The 19954-nt window shown below is 39.6% G+C and overlaps 1 protein-coding gene across 25 annotated transcripts in view; it reads left to right on the forward strand.

The window, feature by feature from the left end:
• Positions 1-2608: 2608 nt before the first annotated feature.
• The window catches only part of SCEL (sciellin), a 109558-nt gene continuing 92212 nt past the window's right edge, over positions 2609-19954 (forward strand). For all 25 annotated transcript variants that reach the window (NM_144777.3, XM_011535290.2, XM_011535283.2 and 22 more), the window contains exon 1: positions 2609-2727. The gene's annotated coding sequence lies outside the window, so the exon portion shown is untranslated. The remainder of the gene's footprint in view (positions 2728-19954) is intronic.

Below are 19954 nucleotides of genomic sequence, written 5' to 3' on the forward strand. Positions count from 1 at the left end.
TGAGCTTACAGTTCTAGAGAGATCTTAAGAACTCCAACACTGAAAGTGAATAGGTGTGGTGAAGCCAAGTTATTCCAAGCATGCCCAAGTCTTCCCAGTTAAACACCTGAGTGAAACTAATGCTCAGGCTATTTGGCTACCTCCACACCCGAAAACGTTCTTGATTCAACCTCTTCACATTTGAGATTTTAAATTTTAGGCAGTCATGTCTGCTCAGCATGAAGAGGTCTGAATTTTGCTCAATGGTTTAGAATTAGTCCCTTTTTATACTAGAGATTTGATTCTAAATGAAAAAACACTGGTTTGGCTTAGCAGTGTGGATGGTCTGATGTATAAAGTAAGAGAAACCCTTAATTGCATGCAGAAATAATTGCTTGGAAGCTCAAAATCCATAACTTGAGTAGCTGCACTTTACTTCATTATAAGATAAAAACTTATCTTTCTGGTTCTGTGTTTCATGAAGTAATATATTTCAACATTCTGTAATGTAAATTACAACTTATCCCTACAAGGGAGCTCTTAAACTGTTTTCTTTCTTTTTGGCTAAGTTCTAAGGCTGAAGATTGCTTCTAGTTTATCTTTTGAGTTAAGTCACGTCTTTGTTTTTCAGCTTTATCATTTGTAATATTAATATTCAAACCAAGATTTTTGGGCATCACAGAAACTTAAAGCATATTTTAAAAATATTTTGCATGTATAAAATTCCATAAAAAAGCTGAGTAGACACGTATATATGTTTTACTTTGAAAGAACATTTTCCATTTTAGATTTTCAAATTCCTCAGCCCAGAATAAGGGAACATCAGGGAACATACAGGAAGTGGTCTCCCAGTCACAATGACCACATACTGCAATTGCCTTGCTCTTCAGTCTGGGTTTCTGCTTCTTGTTACAGTCATTTCAGTGGGCGTCACTCAGCTGCATTGTAGTTTTCAGGAGCAGTTGTTCAGGGGGGATTTGGTTCATTGCTGGTGTGACATATGAATGACGATCACCCAGGAAGTTCTGATGACGTGGCTTCTCTCAACAATGTTTGCTAAGCTTCTTTAAAGCCTCTTTGGCTCTTAGGGAAGGTGTGTTTCAAAACCTGTAACAGGAGTCCCCGCCTAGAATGGCTCTTCAGTGTTACTCCTTCCTCCCAGCGGAAGCAGCCTTTGTTTTTTGTTGGGTTTTTTTTGTTTTTTTTGTCTGTTTGTTTTGTTTTTTGAGATAGGGTCTCACTCTGTCACCCATACTGGAATGCGGTGGTGTGATCACAGCTCACTGTGGCTTGGTCCTCCCATGCTCAAGAGACTCTCTTTGCCTCAGCCTCCTGAGTAACTGGGACCAAAGACATGCACTACCACACCCAGCTGATTTTTTTATTTTTAGTAGAGATGAGATCTTCTCTTACTGTGTTGCCCAGTTTGTCTCGAACTTCTTGGCTCAAGTGATCCTCCCACCTTGGCCTCCCAAAGTGCAAGTGAAAGCCACTGCAACTGGCCAGAAGCAGCCTTTGATGTTGGGTCTACTGCTGCCCTCAGCATTGAAAGAAGTTTCAACCATCCTTTTCACATTTTTTTTTTTTTTCTGAGACAGTCTCACTCTGTTGCCTAGGCTAGAGTGCAGTGGTGTGATCTTGGCTCACTGTAACCTCCACTTCCCTGGTTCAAGTGATTCTCCTGCCTCCTCCTGCCAGAGTGGATGAATGGTTCTTCTTCTTCTTGACCATCTAATCATTGTCCACTCAGACTTTAAAACTCTGCATCAACATCACCTTCCAGGTTCTTCCTTCTCTCCACTATGCGATGCCTGGCATTGAAAATTTCTGTATATGACTTTATCATGGTGTGTTATAGTTATTTAATATAGCTGGGGTTACAGGTGTGTGCCATCACGCCCAGCTAATTTTTATATTTTTAGTAGAGATCAGGTTTTACCATGTTGGCCAGGCTGATCTTGAACTGCTGACCTCAGGTGATCCGCCTGCTTCCACCGCCCAAAGTCCTGGGATTACAGATGTGAGCCACCACGCCTGGCCCCTTTTCACATTTTTTTATACATGGATAAATAAGATAGAGATTAGAATTCTTACATGCTAGGTGTATTTTCCCTCTGATAGTTTTACAAAATAGTCTAGGTGTAGAATGTGTGGAACAGACTTCTTTTGTGTTTTCTAATCCTAGGGTTCCTGGGTTTCTGAGAATTTGTTTGTCTTGAAGATTCCTTTAAGCCATATACTCCTTGCATGCTTGTCTGTGCCCCTGCCTTCCAGGTACTATGGGTGTATGGGGGTTCCTTCTATCTTGAGTTTTCAATTTTATTTTTTGAAAGAGAATACAAAATAGGTTGGGTCCTATGCCACCTTGTCAGTGATATGGTTGTGCATACTGTTGATATCAGTTAAAAGGGTGATCACAGGAGCATATATATATATATGTTTTTTTTTTTTTTGCATAAGGCCATAAGTTAAACAAAGAATTCAAACAAAGACAGTAGGTATATGAGTGAGAATGCTTTAATTGAACTGGTATTTGTACAAGGTGACACCCTGTTGCATACCACACACCTCCTCCCTGAGTGACTCAGCCGCTGAGCAAGAAACCTCTGAACTGTTCACTAATACAGTCAGGTAGAGGTTGAGACTCCACTGAATAAACTCTAGGTTCCCATTTCTTTCAGCCAGATCCTCCCAGGGAATCACTACAGGCTGGTTAGCCAAAAAGTCCTGATTTTCTGCTCAATAGAGGTAAGTTGAATTATACTTGCAAACAGAAATACATCTGCTGTATGTGCACAGCTTTCTCTGTGTTCCTTACAAATGATTAAAATTAGAACTTACTGTATTATCTTTGTCTTTTCTTCCTGTAAATTTTGACAGCCTCCAGCTGGCTGTTAGCTCTGCTCTTCCTTGCTGTACTTTTAGGTCACATTGCATTGAACTTCTTGGCAATTTTACACGTTATGGGCATCACAGAAACGAGCACCTATTTGATTTTCTGGGTGGGAGCTGTCAGCTGGTGAATCCTGCCACACAAAGGATAATAAATTCTTTAAGTGAAGGGACCAGCACCTGCTGGTTTATTTTCTCAAGCGACTATACAAACATTTTTTAAAGGATCTTTCTGTTTTCATAAATGATGCTTTTAGTGAAATAGTGAACTCAAATATTGCTTTATAGTTAATAAGTCATATTTATTTTTTTCTCTACTGCTAAAAATATTGCAAGTTGCTGAGCTATGAGAGAGAGAGAGGTTTATATTTATGAGGTTTTTGTCTCCACCCTATCTTCCCCAAATAAGAAAATCACCATTTCTCACTTGAAAGTACCAAGGAGTAAAGGCAGGGTGTGGGAGCAGAATAAGGGTACATGGTTCCTCACAGGGATCTGTGGGCATCTGGCCAACTTCTCTATGGTATATTCTGCATTCTAACCTAAGGAGTGATTAATGTATATGGGGGCAATTTTCAAACTTTATTCATAGCCTAGTCCTGAAAAACCAGTTTTGGGAGACTTTTGATAAGGCTAGAAGAGTTCTTTTAACAGAGCTTTCTTTTATAATTAATAGCTAAGCTGACTTGTGTTTTTTCTCATCATTTCTATTTATGATACAGAGCTGTGGGATTCAAATGCAGGGGCCACTCACAGCTTGCAAATTGCAGCTCTGTGTCCTCCAGAGAGGTGCCCCCACAGCATACCTGGCTCTATCTGTAGTACTTGAGTTCTCATGGCTTCCTATTGCTGACAAGGTCACCTGCAGTCTGAGAGGGGGTTAGACACACCAGTGCTCATTTCCCAAAGGTTTACAGAAGAATTTTACAACTTGGCTTTCAAGTGTTTATAGTAACCAGAAAACTAAAGTGTAGCAAGTGTGGATAATTTTATTTTTCATAAAATGTGATTACATTTAAAACTGTCTTTCACTTCCATAGTTTATAACGTAGATAAAGCCTTCCTAATATATGTGGTGCTCCAGTGTTTAAAGTATTGGAAACATCAATTTGAGAAAACTGAGAAATGACAACAGTAAAAATTTTAGTAAAACATTCAGATGATCCTAAATGTCGGGATATGCATAGAATGCCAACAACAGGCCAGAATTTTTATTGGAATGTTAGCGTCGTATAAATCTTAGATCTAATTGACAGAATATTTCAACTGAAACGGAGCATAGGCCCATCTAGTCTAATGCCTGAATTTTCTAGTTGAGAAAATCAAAGCATAAATGTTAAGCAACTTGTGAAGATCAGAGTAGCAGAACCAGAGCACGATGCCAGATTGCTTGTCTTTTGTCTTACTGAATTTTCTCAATATTTTTTCAAATGCTTTTTATCATAAAATATGTAGTAGCAATAAATGAGCCACACTCCATCACAGACTGTGGTTACCCAGCACATGTGGAAATATTATAGTGTGTATGGTATGACTAAGACATAATAGAATACGTTTTCCAACTTGTGGCTTATGGAATCAGTGTTGCCGTTTATTATATTTATGAGATTTTCATCTCAGGAGCCAGTAGCCCCTCAGCAGGGAGGGGATCTGATGTATGTGTGTTAGCTGTGGTCTGTACAATCAGAACACCCTTGCCTCGAATGCCATTCTGTAGGTGATGCTTACCTGACTGCCTTCTCAGACTACCAGAATTATGATGAAATACCTGAGAGGTTCATATTCCTGGGGACTATGTAAACAAAACAAATTTTGAATGACTGAGCTCATACTGTGGAATGAACTGAACACAATTCACGAAGCCGTCAAATTAAGCAAACATTGTTTAACTGAGAGTATCTTATACGGTTCAGGCATCAACTCCCAGCATTTCTTAAGAGTGAGGGGATAAAATCTTTGGCCTTGCAGTCCAAGGGAAATCTTTATTGGTTCCATATGGCTTCGCTTTCTGTCATTGTCCTGCTTCTAGACCATTTGTTGATCATTTTCCATTTTCTTTGGCTGGGTACTTTGAAATAAAGATTTTAGGTATTAATTGCTGCATACATAGCTGGAGTTGTTCAAAGCTCACTTCTGAATCAAAAGTCTTTTTTTTTTTTTTTTTTTTAAATGGAGTCTCGCTCTTTTCCCCAGTCTGGAGTGCGATGGCACAATCTCGGGTTACTGCAGCCTCCGCCTCCCATGTTCCAGCGATTCTCCTGCCTCAGCTTCCTGAGTAGCTGGGAGTACACGTGTGCACCACCACACCCGACTAATTTTTCTATTTTTAGTATAGACGGGGTTTCACCATGTTGGCCAGGCTGGTCTTGAACTCCTGACCTCAAGTGATGTACCCGCCTTGGTCTCCCAAAGTGCTGGGATTACAGGCATAGCCAATGCGCCCGGCCTTAATCAAAAGTCTTTATCAGTTATATTCCTTAAGTGTTTCCAGCTTACCATTGTACAAATGGTAAACTGTGATTTTTTTCCATGAACTTGTGATTTTGAAGCTCGGGAGAAGCTCTTCCTCACATGGATGCTTTGCCAAATGACAGCTACACGTACTAGACTTTCATTTCATGTCGATTACTAAATTTTTTAAGGACATGAGTCATCCTTTTATTGTGATACTTAATTGGAACAGTGAATTTTATAGCTACCTATTCAATGACAACTGGTTTACTTCTAGATACAAGAACTGATCATCCTGAATCCTCCTTGTAATAGTATACTTGATAGCTCTAAAAATCTGAATAATTTATTCTTTGTCTGTAGACCCAAGTTTCCCTGACTCTAAAATGTGATTACGTATCCTTCATATGAAGCCTCCTGGGGAAAGACAGTGAACTATAAGCCATATTTTCCAAACTGAGATATATACATCCCAGGAGACTGTGTCAATGTTCTAGAAAATGCAATAAAATTATGAAATAAGCATGGCACATGTCTGTATGGAGAGCTAATTTTAGTTAAAAAGCTTTGGAGAAAACTATCCCTATTGCCCTGCCCTCTCCCCAGTTCTCCCCAGGGTTCCCTCTTTTGTCATTAGAGATGCTGTGTGTAAAAGTTTAAAAGAAATTTATATACAAATGCATGCAGTGAGCTGAAATCTAGATAGACTTGAATTTGAACCATGATTCCATGTGGACAAACGGTGACATGTATGAGTATGCCTAACTCACAGCACCAGCAGATAAAAAGAAAAATTAGGATTCTTGATGAATAATTAATAGACATATAAAATTATGTAATTATATATTATATACATATTTTATAATATACATAGCATATTACATAATGGGACATATATGTATAAAATATGACTCACAATAGCACAAAAATATAAAAATCTAGAAAAAATCTCTACAAGAAAAATTTAAAATCTAGATTTAAAAAATAACAACATTTTATAGTAAGACATAAAGGTGAAAGCGGACCTTAAATGTCAGTTCTTCCCAAACTCTTTTTATAGAATCTATGCAATTTTAGTCAAAAGTTCCAATAGAATATTTATCTTGGAAACTTAGAAAATAATTTTTTTTTTTTTTGAGACAGAGTCTCGCTCTTTCACCCAGGCTGGACTGCAGTGGCTCTATCTCGGCTCACTGCAAGCTCCGCCTCCCGGGTTCACATCATTCTGCCTCAGCCTCCCGAATAGCTGGGACTACAGGCGCCCACCACCACGCCCAGCTGATTTTTTGTATTTTTAGTAGAGATGAGGTTTCACAGTGTTAGCCAGGATGGTCTCGATCTCCTGATCACGTGGTCTGCCCGCCTCTGCCTCCCAAAGTGCTGGGATTACAGGCGTGAGCCACTGCGCCTGGCTGAAACTTAGACAATAATTTTAAAGTTATCTGAAAGAAAGGAATAAATGAGAATAGCTGATAGAATTTCTAAAAAGGAAGTTAATGAAGGGTGCTGTGCTACTAGATATTAAAAATGTATGTATCAGAAAAACACAATAATAAAAGTAGCTTGTTTTTATTGTAAGAAACTAAAGACAGTTTTCTTGAGGAAAACGGATAGCCACAAAGCACATTTAAGAATATGTAAGAATTTAAAGTGTGACAAAGGACGTATCATATATCAACGAGAAAGGGATTTATTCTCCCATTACCAAAGTAAATCCACATGGATTAGAGAGATTACATAAAACAACAAAATATATTGTAAAAATTAAAAGAAAAATAAATATTTAGTTAACCTCATGTTTGTTCAACAAATATTCCTCTAGAACTGATTATGTACCAGGTACTGTGATAAGTTTTGAAAATCAGCTGTGGAGAAGATGGGCTTGGCCACTGCTCTTAAGATGTACAATGTGTGAATGTGTGCGGGTGTGAGTATGTGTGTATACTTGTGGGTTGGGGGTGGGGGAAGATTATTCAGCCATACACACAGTCTTAGGTGATGTTATGGAAACTCTTTGCTATTTGAACACATAGTAGGGCTCATAACTCAGCCTGGGGAGGAAGGAGTGGGGCAAGTGGCGATGGTATCACAGAGTGATTCCTGGAGGATATAGAATGTGTGATCTGGAAGGTGAATGGAAGTCTTTCCTGAAGGAAAATGAGGGGTTGAGGGAAGTTCAGGAAGAAGAGTGTTTCAGGCATAGATAGAATAAGCAATAGCTCACAGGTGATGAAAAGGATGGAGCCCCAGGCACTGGAAGGAGTTGCTGTGGCTGAAGCCAGAGTGTGAGTGGGAAGTGGGGAGTTGGGGGAAATGAGGCTGGAGGGTATGGCCTTGTCAGCCTTGTTATCAGTTCGATTTTATCCTGACAGAAAGGGAACACCCTTGAACGACTTTAAGTAGGTGATGACTACTTTGGCACCAGTGAGGAGGAGAGTGGATTAAGTGAGGAAGTCTGGAGATTGAGAATGTAGCTGGGAAGCCGTTGGAATAGTCAGGAGATTATGGTAGTTTGAATTGGTGTCTTGCAAATAGAAAGATACACAAGAGATGTTGAATTATAGGACTTGACGATTGCTTGGATTTCAAGGTCAGAAAGAAGATTGATGGATGGTCTACAAAGATGGCTTTTAAAGAGTGAAAGTGGAAGAAATTATAAAGGGAAAAATAGGGAATGCAAAATCAAAAGCTTCTGATACAAAATTTATAATTAGAAGCTAAATGAAAAACTAGTAAAGATGAATGTTCCTGACATATAAAGAAAATGAGAAATCAGTAAGAAATATATAATAATTGTCAATGGATAATTTATAAAATAAGAAAGAAAATGCCCTGTAAAGTGAAGAAAAATATGCGAGTAAAACAAAATGATTCTACTTTCACCTATTATATTATTAAAAAGATTAATGAATGATAATTCTAAATGCTGGCAAATGAGTGAACACTCATATGTTGCTGGTGGATGATAAACTACTATAAGATTTACGGAAAGAAACTCGACAATAGGGATCAAGAATATTTTAGAAATTATACATCTTGGCAAGTAATTTCACTTCTCGGATTCATTCAAAGAAAATAATCAGATACTTGGTGAAAGACTTTTGTATGGTTTTTTAGAAACAACAGAGGAATGATGTTACATTGATAAATAAAATGAGATATTTTGTAGCTGCAAAATAAATATTTAAATATTCTTAAATGGCATTGGAAAATGCATATCAGTAGGCTCTAAATGGGCAAAGAAAAACCCTGGAAGAAAATTACAGTGATTGATTAAAGGTGTCTGATTTTTTTTTCCTTTCTTTATGCTTTCTTGTATTTTCCACATTTTATATATGCTTTCTTGTATTTCCACATATGTTCTAAATATAGTGAGAAAGATTTATGTTGTGTAAAATTGGGATACAGAACAGCTACATGACAGAGCTTTTGTGAATATGAAATACAGTAAAGTATTTAAGATAACTAACAGGGTTTTGGCTCATAGTCTGTGGTCAAAATTTGAGTTTTTACTCATTTAACTTGTATTTTCAGCTAGAACTGAAAATAGCCCCTGATGGGGCTCAGGTGATAGATAACTTTTATTGGATAGCTTTTTTATTAATGAATATTAGACCAGTGTTTTTTGTAAAATGAAATAATTATAGGCCACTATTCATGTTAAAGCTTGCTGTTATCATTCTGCAGAAAAGATGGGCTGTAAGAAAAAGAGCTGGTGAGGGTTGTGTATTAAAAACCAGAATCAGGCCGAGGCAGGCGGATCACGAGGTCAGGAGTTAGAGACCAGCCTGACCAACATGGTGAAACCCCGTCTCTACTAAAAATACAAAAATTAGAGAGGCATGGTGGTGCGTGCCTGTAATCCCAGCTACTCAGGAGGCTGAGGCAGGAGAATAGCTTGAACCCGGGAGGTGGAGGTTGCAGTGGCCGAGATCACGCCATTGCACTCCAGCCTGGGCTACAGAGCAAGATTCCGTCTCAACAAACAAACAAACAAACAAACCCCAGAATCAACAGTGAGAAAATTGTATGGTAGGGGCTTTCATTTGTGCTACATTCTGGACTCTTGTTTCACCAGCAGTAAACAAGTTTCCCAATGCTAAGCTTAGATTGTGAGGTTGTGTGACTGAAGAAATAGCTGCTTTCTAACCATCACAGAAGGCTAAATGAATCTTTCCCAGCCTGATGATTTTTGGATTTCCTTTTAGGCTGTGTATTCAGGCTAAACACAGTTGTTTGTTTCTGAGAGACTATTTAAAAATGGATTTAAATAGACTTGTTAATATTTACACTTCATGAAGTACTGTTTGTTTTCCCCTTACATATATTTCTTGTACTTTTAGGTGGTAATTAGTTGTTTGATGGTTTGTTTTATTTATCTTCCAAAAGATAATTCTTCTGTTTATTGATCTGTAATTATAGAGCCCCTCTTATTCTTCTACTGAAAATGGTTTTATGGCATTTGTCCTTTTCCAGTTCCTAGGGATTTTCCCTGTTTCATTGATTTCCGGGAAACAAGTAGTGGTGGGGTTGGCACTGTTACCGCACCCTGAAACCCTCAGGACTTTTTCAGAAGCAAAAGTGAATACCACCAGGGCAATTTGCCACCCTGTGTCATTTTCTAGACCCCTTTTCTGTATTTGTTTATTTATTCTACTTTAGCTTTTTTTTTTTTTTTTTTTGAGACGGAGTCTCGCTCTGTTGCCCAGGCTGGAGTGCAGTGGCGGGATCTCGGCTCACTGCAAGCTCCGCCTCCCGGGTTCACGCCATTCTCCTGCCTCAGCCTCCCAAGTAGCTGGGACTACAGGCGCCCACCACCACGCCCGGCTAATTTTTTGTATTTTTAGTAGAGACGGGGTTTCACCGTTTTAGCCGGGATGGTCTCGATCTCCTGACCTCGTGATCCGCCCGCCTCGGCCTCCCAAAGTGCTGGGACTACAGGCGTGAGCCACCGCGCCCGGCCAACTTTAGCTTTTTTATATTCTCCATCACTAAAGAGATTTGCCCTGGGCAACTATTGACATTTGGTCTTTTATAAAGATAGTAATTTATAAAAATATATTAGAAGCTTGATAAATTGATTGAAAGATTTTGGGGTAGTTAAAATATCCAAATGTCACTCTATGTAAATCTCATGATACTTTGGTAAAATGATCAAAGAAAGTCTGCTCCAATTCTTCTCTGTTGAGCTCCACCATGGATCTCCATTGTTGCCATCTTTATGTCCATGAGTACCCAATGTTTAGTTCCCACTTATAAGGGGAAACACTTGGTATTTGGTTTTCTGTTTCTGCATTAATTCGCTTAGGATAATGACCTCCAGCTGCATCCATGTTGCTGCAAAGAACATGATTTCGTTCTTTTTTTATTTACCACTTTTTAGTCGAGTAAATTTCTTCCTGTTGACTCCTTTTTGTTTCCCGGGCTTCTGAGATAGGTACTGTGCGTCAGGCTGATTTGAGTTTGAATCCCAACTGGGCGATTCACTAGTTATGTAACCTCAGGCAAACTACTCATCTTGAGACTCCTTCCAGAAAAGAAATCTGCCTACATTTCGACCACTGCCCACATTTCCAACTCCTGCCCTATCCTTCCGCAAGAAGACTCTGACTTCACTGAAACCATTCATCATTAAGTTTCATTAAAGAACAAGTATAATAATAGTAACAACCTAAAGGCATGTAAGGCTTAAATGAGACAACACCTATAAAATATAAGCTCAAAATAGTTATTATTATTGTAGGACCCCAAATCTCAGCAGTCAGAATTGAAGTCCTTGTTTTTTTCTCTTTTCTTCCATCATCCTTTATTGTGTTAATTTACTTTCTGCTGCACATCTTTTTTTCTTTTCTGCCTTATTTCTCCTTTTCTCTTTCCTCTATGAGCCCTTCTTTAACCAATTTTAGTTTCTTTGTTCACACAATCTTTCTTAAGAGAAAGTTAGCAGGGAGTGGTAAAGACTTCGTGAGGTAAGCCAAGAGGCATTATGTCCTTGGGTGGGAAGGGAAGAGTGAGATTTTTAAAGTCTTTATGCTGAGAGGACCCAAAAGATGATGAAGATTCTAGCTGAGCTGGGAACTGGCCCAGGAAATTCTTGGCACTGGGACAGGAAGAGCTGGGGCTGAGATCAGGCTGGGGGACTGAAGTGAAAGTTGGCTCAGGGAATTCTTGGCATTGGGACAAGAGGAGCTGGGGCTCAGATTGGGCTGGTGGGAGGAGTGGCAATTGGGTCACCTAATGGACCTAAATGCTCCCAGAGGAAGTGCTGTTATTAGAGATAGAAAATACTGAAGGAAATTGAGTAAGGGCATGGGGAGATGAGGAGAAGCTGAAAAGAAGACAAAAGTAAGAAATAGGAGATGCTGATAGTTTCAAATGCATACAAAAAGAGCTACGAAAGTTGATTGATTTCATGATTCAGAACTTTAGCAGAGTGATTTCATGTAAAACCTAAAGACAAATGTCCTTGGGCAGAAGCAGTAGGCAGCAGATAAAAACTAGCTCTTTCTGGTGTTTGGCCACAAAGAGGAAATGAAAGATGGGCCAATAATTGAAAATATTTTTTCCCTCTCTCCTCAGACTTTGACGTTATGATTTTACATCATAATTTTCAACACATGCATTCAGTGCTTCATAGGTAAAGGTTTTTCTACTTCCCAGCATAAGAGAGACAGCGTTCACACATCTTTTGTCATAATATTACACTTCTAAAACACAGTTGCTGGTGTCTGTAATCAGTAGGCATATGTACTGGCAACAGCCTTTTGAAAAGCCAAGATTAGAGTTTCATCTTTTTTGTGAGAAGCTAAAAACTTAATTGGAATGAAACTGAAACGTGGCACTTAGAAATAAATCCAGTTAGCTGAACTGAGGCTACCAAAGTGTCAATATGTGGGTGTTGAGTAGATTTGAAGCTCAGGATAACCTCAGTACCTGAAATAAGTAATTCCTTTAAAGAATTACAAAACAATAAAATTTGGCTGCATTTTTTTTAATACTACCAGTTTGAGAGACTAGTAATCCCTAATCCATTCCACAAAAGGGCATTTTTAACAAGGATATTATTCACAGAAACATATATTGTTGAACTATTTCTAAAAAGAAATATCCATGTATATATAAAGTACTGTTTTATATCCTGGGGAAGATGGAAAGAACACTACTGCAGTAAAATGTCTGCGGAAGTAGAGGTCGATGAGACAGGAATGTTTACACCTTAGAGGCTTTACATGGAAGCTTCTAGAAATGGCTCTGGGGCCACCCAAAGAGGGGGCATTAGGAGATGATTTGGGTGACATGGACAATGGGTCCTAAGAGAAGAAGAGAGCAGCGAGGCTGGAAGAGGTTGTGTGAAAGATGTAGGAGAGATGCCAAAAGGGAAAGAAAGACTCAAGAGCAGACTTTCTCTGGCTTGGGCCATCTGGCAGGGGCCTTCACTGATTTGGCAGCTTGCATCTTTGATAAGAAAAATTTAATTTCCCACAGTATTGCTCATTTATATTTCAGAAGAAAAACCCAGCATCCTTATGAAACTATTATCACCTGTAAATAGAATACATTATAGTTTCCTTTCTCAGTTAGCTTGATCAATGGCCAGCACTGGACTACGAGAGAAAATGAAACGTTATCAAGCTATCCAGTATGAGATAGATTCAGGGAAGGAGTCCAGTCAGGAACCATGTCAGGCCACTTCAGGCCACTTCTGGCTGCAGTGTGTTCATTGGGGAGTGAGTTTTGAGGCTGAGCTATCAGGAAATGTTGGGGCAGCCATTCATTCCTGCTGCTCCTCTCACCTGCTCTCCCATGATCATCAATCATCTGGGACTCCAGGCATTTCTCTGAGTGCCTGGTATGGGTCATATCACATGGCACTTTGAGTTACATGTAGTATCACTTACTGAAAAGAGCTCTGGTGTTGCAGTCACACAGACCTAACTGCAGTTTCTGATTCTTCCTCTAACTGTGTACTTTGGGCAGGTTATTTAAGCTCTCTGAGGTTTGGGATCCCATAATTATAGATAATAGTACTGGCCTGGAAGGATTAAATAAGATAATGTGCATAAAACATGTGGTACAGCCGGTGGTACTTGGTAGGGGCTTAACAAGTGATCCTTCTTGCTAGGAACATTTAACACATATGTTTTGTTGATAAAAGAATCACACATATCTTTTGTAGACTCCTGTCAACTTTTGGACCTTCTATTTGCTGCACGATGGCTTAGTGACATGGAGGAAGAGCATAAGGCTTGAGTAACAACAACAACAAAAAAAAAAAAAGGAAAAGAAATCTCTTAAACAAACGAGGCGGTTTATTTTTCTCTTGGAAGGAGAAGTTCAGAGGTAGATAATACAGGGCTATTGTGGCAACTCCATGACACTGTCAAGGAACCGGGTCCCTTCTAACTTCCTGCTCTGCTATTTTTCGTGTGTGAATTTAGTCCCTATGATTGCCCACAGTCACTAAGGTCCAAGAGGACTGCTCCTCCCTCCTGCAAGCCACCTTAGTTTCAGAAAAGAGTGGGGGAGCACAAAAGGACATATTCTTCCCAGGGACTTCCACTTCAATTGTAATAGTCAGAACTACAAATGTGTCACTGCTAGCTTCAGAGAGCCTGAGAAATGTGGCTTTAGATATCAGTAAGAAAGAAGGGGAGAATGGATATCAGATATGCAATCATTGTCTGCCATGAGTCCCTACTTGGAAATCTCCAGATCATCATGACTGGACCTTTCCTTATTGTCCTCTCCCATTGGAACATACCACACCCAGCCCCCCAAAAATTTAAGATAAATCTTAAACATTTTAAAAAATGTGAGTAACATTTGTAATTTAAAAGAGAGAGGCGTGGCATTCCGGAGGAATTCTTAAAGTAAAATTTAGATTTACCCTGAAATCTATAGTGATGATTACTAACTGCTTTAAGAATGAAAATTCTTTTTTTAAAATAAAAAAATTCATGATGTTTCACATATGAGACTAATTATATTTTCAGTAATTTACTGGTTGACAAAAAGGTATGATGGATTTGGTATAAAAATGCTTTGATGCTGAGTGCAGAAGGATTTGCAAGCAGACCCTATGCAATTAACTCAGTGCCACTGCCCTCCATCCCTCACTCTCTCATCCTCTGCCCATCTGGAAGTTTGCACCCAGGGTTAGGTACCATGCTGGGATGGCTGAGGTCTTGATCAACTCTCAGATCATCAGAAATTCCTGCAAAGAGCTCTGTAGAGGAAAACAGGTATCTCTTCATCATTTTATATTTAGGGATAGCTCCAATCAGACCCAACATTCTGCCATAGGGTCTGATATTTTCATGCCTTTGTTAGCTAGGTATTCTCCAGAAGGCCTGGTTAAATGAGAACAAGTGAAATAAGACATTTGAACAAGCTCATGGAACTTACCCTCTTTCTCTCTGTTAATGACTAGCCTCAGGTATCCTATAAACACCCCCACTGGCTTCATCCCAGAACCTCTGGGATGCTCCCTAGGAACAGTTTCCAGTAAACCCACTTTCTTTCCCTGGGACTTCCCAGTTGCCTCTTCCTTAGTATATAGCTCTCTGGCCAAAACCCCAGATGGTTGCTGTGTTTTAAATTTTCTTTGGTATTCTACCCATATCCCACCTCAGTCCTCCTCTGACCTAGGCTTCTGCTGCCCCTTTAGGGTCTGCTAGGAAGGGAGGAAAGTTCAAACAATAATAATACTTTATATGATTTTATAGGAATTTATAATTTACAAAGCATTATCTCATTTAATTTCCATAACAACCTTTTAAGATTGCTATAACTTCCTCTTTGCAGAGGCAGAAGCAGAGACTTAGTCCAAGTAGCTAATGAGTGACGAAGCTGGGGACACACACAATCTGGGGCTTTTTAGCCCAAGGGCTGTCAATCATTTTTCTGCCTATGCCACTGCTAACACATTAAGATGTCACCTGTTCAGGCATATTTTACTTCAGATTGGCTAGTAGAGAGAAAGATCCTGAGGCAAGGAGGGTCAGATGGTTTTTGACAGTTTGAGGGACATGGAAAGTTCTGGAGCATAAAGGGAAGCTAAGGATAAGATCTAATGGGGAAAAGAAGGGTGTTGACATTAAGATGGGCAGGAAGTCTGTATAAACATCAGCGTGCATCTTTAACTCTCTGATATGGTTTGTCTCTGTGTCCCCAACCAAATCTCACCTTGAGTTGTAAGAATTCCCACGTGTCGTGGGAGGGACCTGGTGGGAGGTAATTTAATCATGGAGGCACGGTTTTTTTCCATACTGTTCTCAAGATAGTGAATAAATCTCATGGGATCTGATGGCTTTATGAAGGGCAGTTCCCCTGCACATGCTCTCTTGTCTGCCCTCATGTAAGATGTGACTTTGCTTGTCATTTGCCTTCTGCCATCATTGTGAGGTCTCCCCAGACATGTGGAACTGTGATCCAATTAAACCTCTTTCCTTTATAAATTACCCAGTCTTGGGTATGTCTTTATGAGCAGGGTGTATAGTTCCATTGTGCATATATACCCTTTTTTCTTTATCCATTTGTCTGTTGATGGACACTTAGGTTGATTCAATATCTTTGTTATTGTGAATAGTGCTGCAATAAACATGTGATGCAGGTATCCCTTTAATATACTGATTTCTTTTCCTTGGGATAGATACCTAGCAATGGAATTACCAGATCATATGGTAGTTCTACTTTTAGTTTTTTGAGAAATGTTCATACTCTTTTCCATAGAGGTTGTACTAATTTATATTCCCACCAACAGTGTATGAGAGTTCTCTTTTCTCTGCATCCTCACCAGCATCTGTCATTTTTGTCTTCTTAATAATAGTCATTCTAACTGAAGTAAGATGGTATCTCATTTGGTTTTGACTTGCATTTCTTTGATGATTAGTGGTGTTGAGCATTTTACCTGTTAGCCATTTGTATGTCTTTATATATAATATATATTTTAAAATAGCAGGTGCTCAATTGAAATAACAGAGAACACACTACCCAATGGTTACATGTTTTGGTAACGTGGTAGAATATCACATTCTCTTATTGTCACATAATCTGCTATACCCCATTGTTAGTTCACATAGACATTCTCTTGCCTGTGATTGACTTTATCCTTGCAACTCTCATTCTGCTTTCCTGTACAATAGTGTGACTCTTTTCAAACCACAAATGGGAACTAGGATCCGATCAGAAGACAGAAAGTTTTAAACTAGGATGTTCCTGAGTATGTGTGTTTATATTATTTACGTGGCTTCTGTTTGTGAGTTCCACAGAAGCCTAGGCCTGCTTGTCTTTATTGTATAAGTTTAACAGCTGCTTGCATAGTTCAGGGTCAGAGAGCATATTTTCAGGCCACAATTATGAATGATCCACGGGTCACTCAAGACACCAGTTTAACATTTAGGAGTTGATACAGATGCATACCAGGGAGAGCTCAATTGTTAGCAGTGTGTGGAGGTGCCCATGAGGATGGGACTGGGATAATCTTGTGAAATATAATCTGATTCCATTTTATTCTGGCAAAACCGCACGGGCCATATAAGAGTGTCTTTTCTGCCTCTCCAGCTCAAAGATGGCCTGGCCTGCTGCCAGTTTTTTTTTTTTTTTTAGTTGAGATATAATTTACATGCCATAAAATTCACCATTTTAAAGTGTAAAATTCAGTGCTTTTTAAAAAATATATTCACAGCTGGGTGTGGTGGCTCACATCTGTAATCCCAGTACTTCGGGAGGCTGAGGCAGGTGGATGGCTTGAGGCCAGGAGTTTGAGAACAGCCTGGCCAACATGGCAAAACTGCGTGTCTACTAAAAATAAAAAAATTAGCCAGATGTGGTGGCACACACCTGTAGTCCAAGCTACTCAGGAGGCTGAGGCACGAGAATTACTTGAACCCAGGAGGCAGAGGTTGCAGTGCGGCAAGATCATGCAACAGCACTACAGACTGGGTGACAGAATGAGACTTTGTCTAAAATATATATATATATATATATATATATTATATATATATATCTCCAAGGTTGTGCAACCATCACCACTATCTGATTCCGGAGTATTTTAATTTTACCCCAAAAAGAAACCCCATTCCCTTTAGCAGTCACTCTTCATTCACCTCTCCCCTTAACCCCTGGAAAACACTAATCCACTTTCTTTTCTATGGATGTGACTGTTCTGTACATTTCATATCAATGGAATCATACAATGTGTCCTCTTCCGTGTCTGGCTTCTTTCATTTAACTTAATGTTTCAAGTTTCATCCACATTGTAAGATGAATCAGTATTTTCATTCCTTTTTATGCTGAGTAATATTCTGTTGCACAGAGATGCCATGCTGTGTATCCATTCATCCACTGATGGACATTGGGGTTGTTTCTACTTTTTGGCTGTTATGTGCTACCATGACCATTCATGTATAAGTTTTTGTGTGGACATGTTTTTAACCAAAGGAATGTTGGGGAATACACAGAGAAGGCTGTCCTGTGAAGGTTTGTTTGCTGCAGCAGTTCATTGAGAGGCTGCCCTGGTACCAAGCACTTGACCAGAGCTCATGGGACTTCCAAGGAGTGAGATGCTCAGGGCCAGGCAAACCCCTGCATCCACGTTCCCACTCTCGCTTTAACACCAGGGCAGCAGCCTAGTCTTGCAGTGACTCCTGATGGGCATTAGTGCTGTTTGCTGAGGAGGGCGTGGCTTGGTTTAGAAGCCCGATGCAGCCTCTTAACACCTTGGACATGTTGCATCCTCTCTCTGAGCTCCGGTAGTCTCATCTGGGAGTTGGAGGGACCAACAGCCACCCCACAGAGTTTATGTGAAAAATGAGAGACAATGCCTGAGAGGTCCCCTGTTCAGGGCGGGGGCTCAACCAGTGGATCTTTATTCTATTAGCAATTGCCCTGTGCAATAGACCATTCAAAGAGGGCACAGATCAAGGGCAGTGTAGACCAAAGCTCTTTGAATGACTTGCCTATTTTATAACTCTTCAAATTACTTTTTTCATAAGGACTCCATAGTTTGCTCAGGCTGTTATAACAAAATACCACAGACGGGTGACTTAAATAACAGAAAATCATTGTCTCACAGTTGTGGGGGCTGGGCAGATTTGGATTACTCCTGAGGCCTCTCTCCTTGGCCTGCAGATGGCCACCTTCTTACTGTGTCCTCACATGGCCTTTCCTCTGGTGTCTCTTTGTGTTTCGAAATTTTCTCTTCTTACAAGGTCACCAGTCAGGTTGAATTAGTACCCACCCTAAGGGCCTCGTTTTTTTGTTTGTTTGTTTGTTTGTTTTATTATTATTATACTTTAAGTTTTAGGGTACATGTGCACAATGTGCAGGTTAGTTACATATGTATACATGTGCCATGCTGGTGTGCTGCACCCATTAACTCATCATTTAGCTTTAGATATATCTCCTAAAGCTATCCCTCCCCCCTCCCCCCACCCCACAACAGTCCCCAGAGTGTGATGTTCCCCTTCCTGTGTCCATGTGTTCTCATTGTTCAATTCCCATCTATGAGTGAGAATATGCGGTGTTTGGTTTTTTGTTCTTACGATAGTTTACTGAGAATGATGATTTCCAATTTCATCCATGTCCCTACAAAGGACATGAACTCATCATTTTTTATGGCTGCATAGTATTCCATGGTGTATATGTGCCATATTTTCTTAATCCAGTCTATCATTGTTGGACATTTGGGTTGGCTCCAAGTCTTTGTTATTGTGAACAGTGCCGCCATAAACATACGTGTGCATGTGTCTTTATAGCAGCATGATTTATAGTCCTTTGGGTATATACCCAGTAATGGGATGGCTGGGTCAAATGGTATTTCTAGTTCTAGATCCCTGAGGAATCGCCACACTGACTTCCACAATGGTTGAACTAGTTTACAGTCCCACCAACAGTGTAAAAGTGTTCCTATTTCTCCACATCCTCTCCAGGACCTGTTGTTTCCTGACTTTTTAATGATTGCCATTCTAACTGGTGTGAGATGGTATCTCATTGTGGTTTTGATTTGCATTTCTCTGATGGCCAGTGATAGTGAGCATTTTTTCATGTGTTTTTTGGCTGCATAAATGTCTTCTTTTGAGAAGTGTCTGTTCATGTCCTTCGCCCACTTTTTGATGGGGTTGTTTGTTTTTTCTTGTAAATTTGTTTGAGTTCATTGTAGATTCTGGATATTAGCCCTTTGTCAGATGAGTAGGTTGTGAAAATTTTCTCCCATTCTGTAGGTTCCCTGTTCACTCTGATGGTAGTTTCTTTTGCTGTGCAGAAGCTGTTTAGTTTAATTAGATCCCATTTGTCAATTTTGGCTTTTGTTGCCATTGCTTTTGGTGTTTTAGACATGAAGTCCTTGCCCATGCCTATGTCCTGAATGGTAATGCCTAGGTTTTCTTCTAGGGTTTTTATGGTTTTGGGTGTAATGTTTTGGGTGTAATGATTAAGTCTTTAATCCATCTTGAATTAATTTTTGTATAAGGTGTAAGGAAGGGATCCAGTTTCAGCTTTCTACATATGGCTAGCCAGTTTTCCCAGCACCATTTATTAAATAGGGAATCCTTTCGCCATTGCTTGTTTTTCTCAGGTTTGTCAAAGATCAGATAGTTGTAGATATGTGGTGTCAAGAACAGAACAAGAGCCT

This window comes from Homo sapiens, chromosome 13 (genome assembly GCF_000001405.40).
Source record: "Homo sapiens chromosome 13, GRCh38.p14 Primary Assembly".
Lineage (NCBI taxonomy): Eukaryota > Metazoa > Chordata > Mammalia > Primates > Hominidae > Homo > Homo sapiens.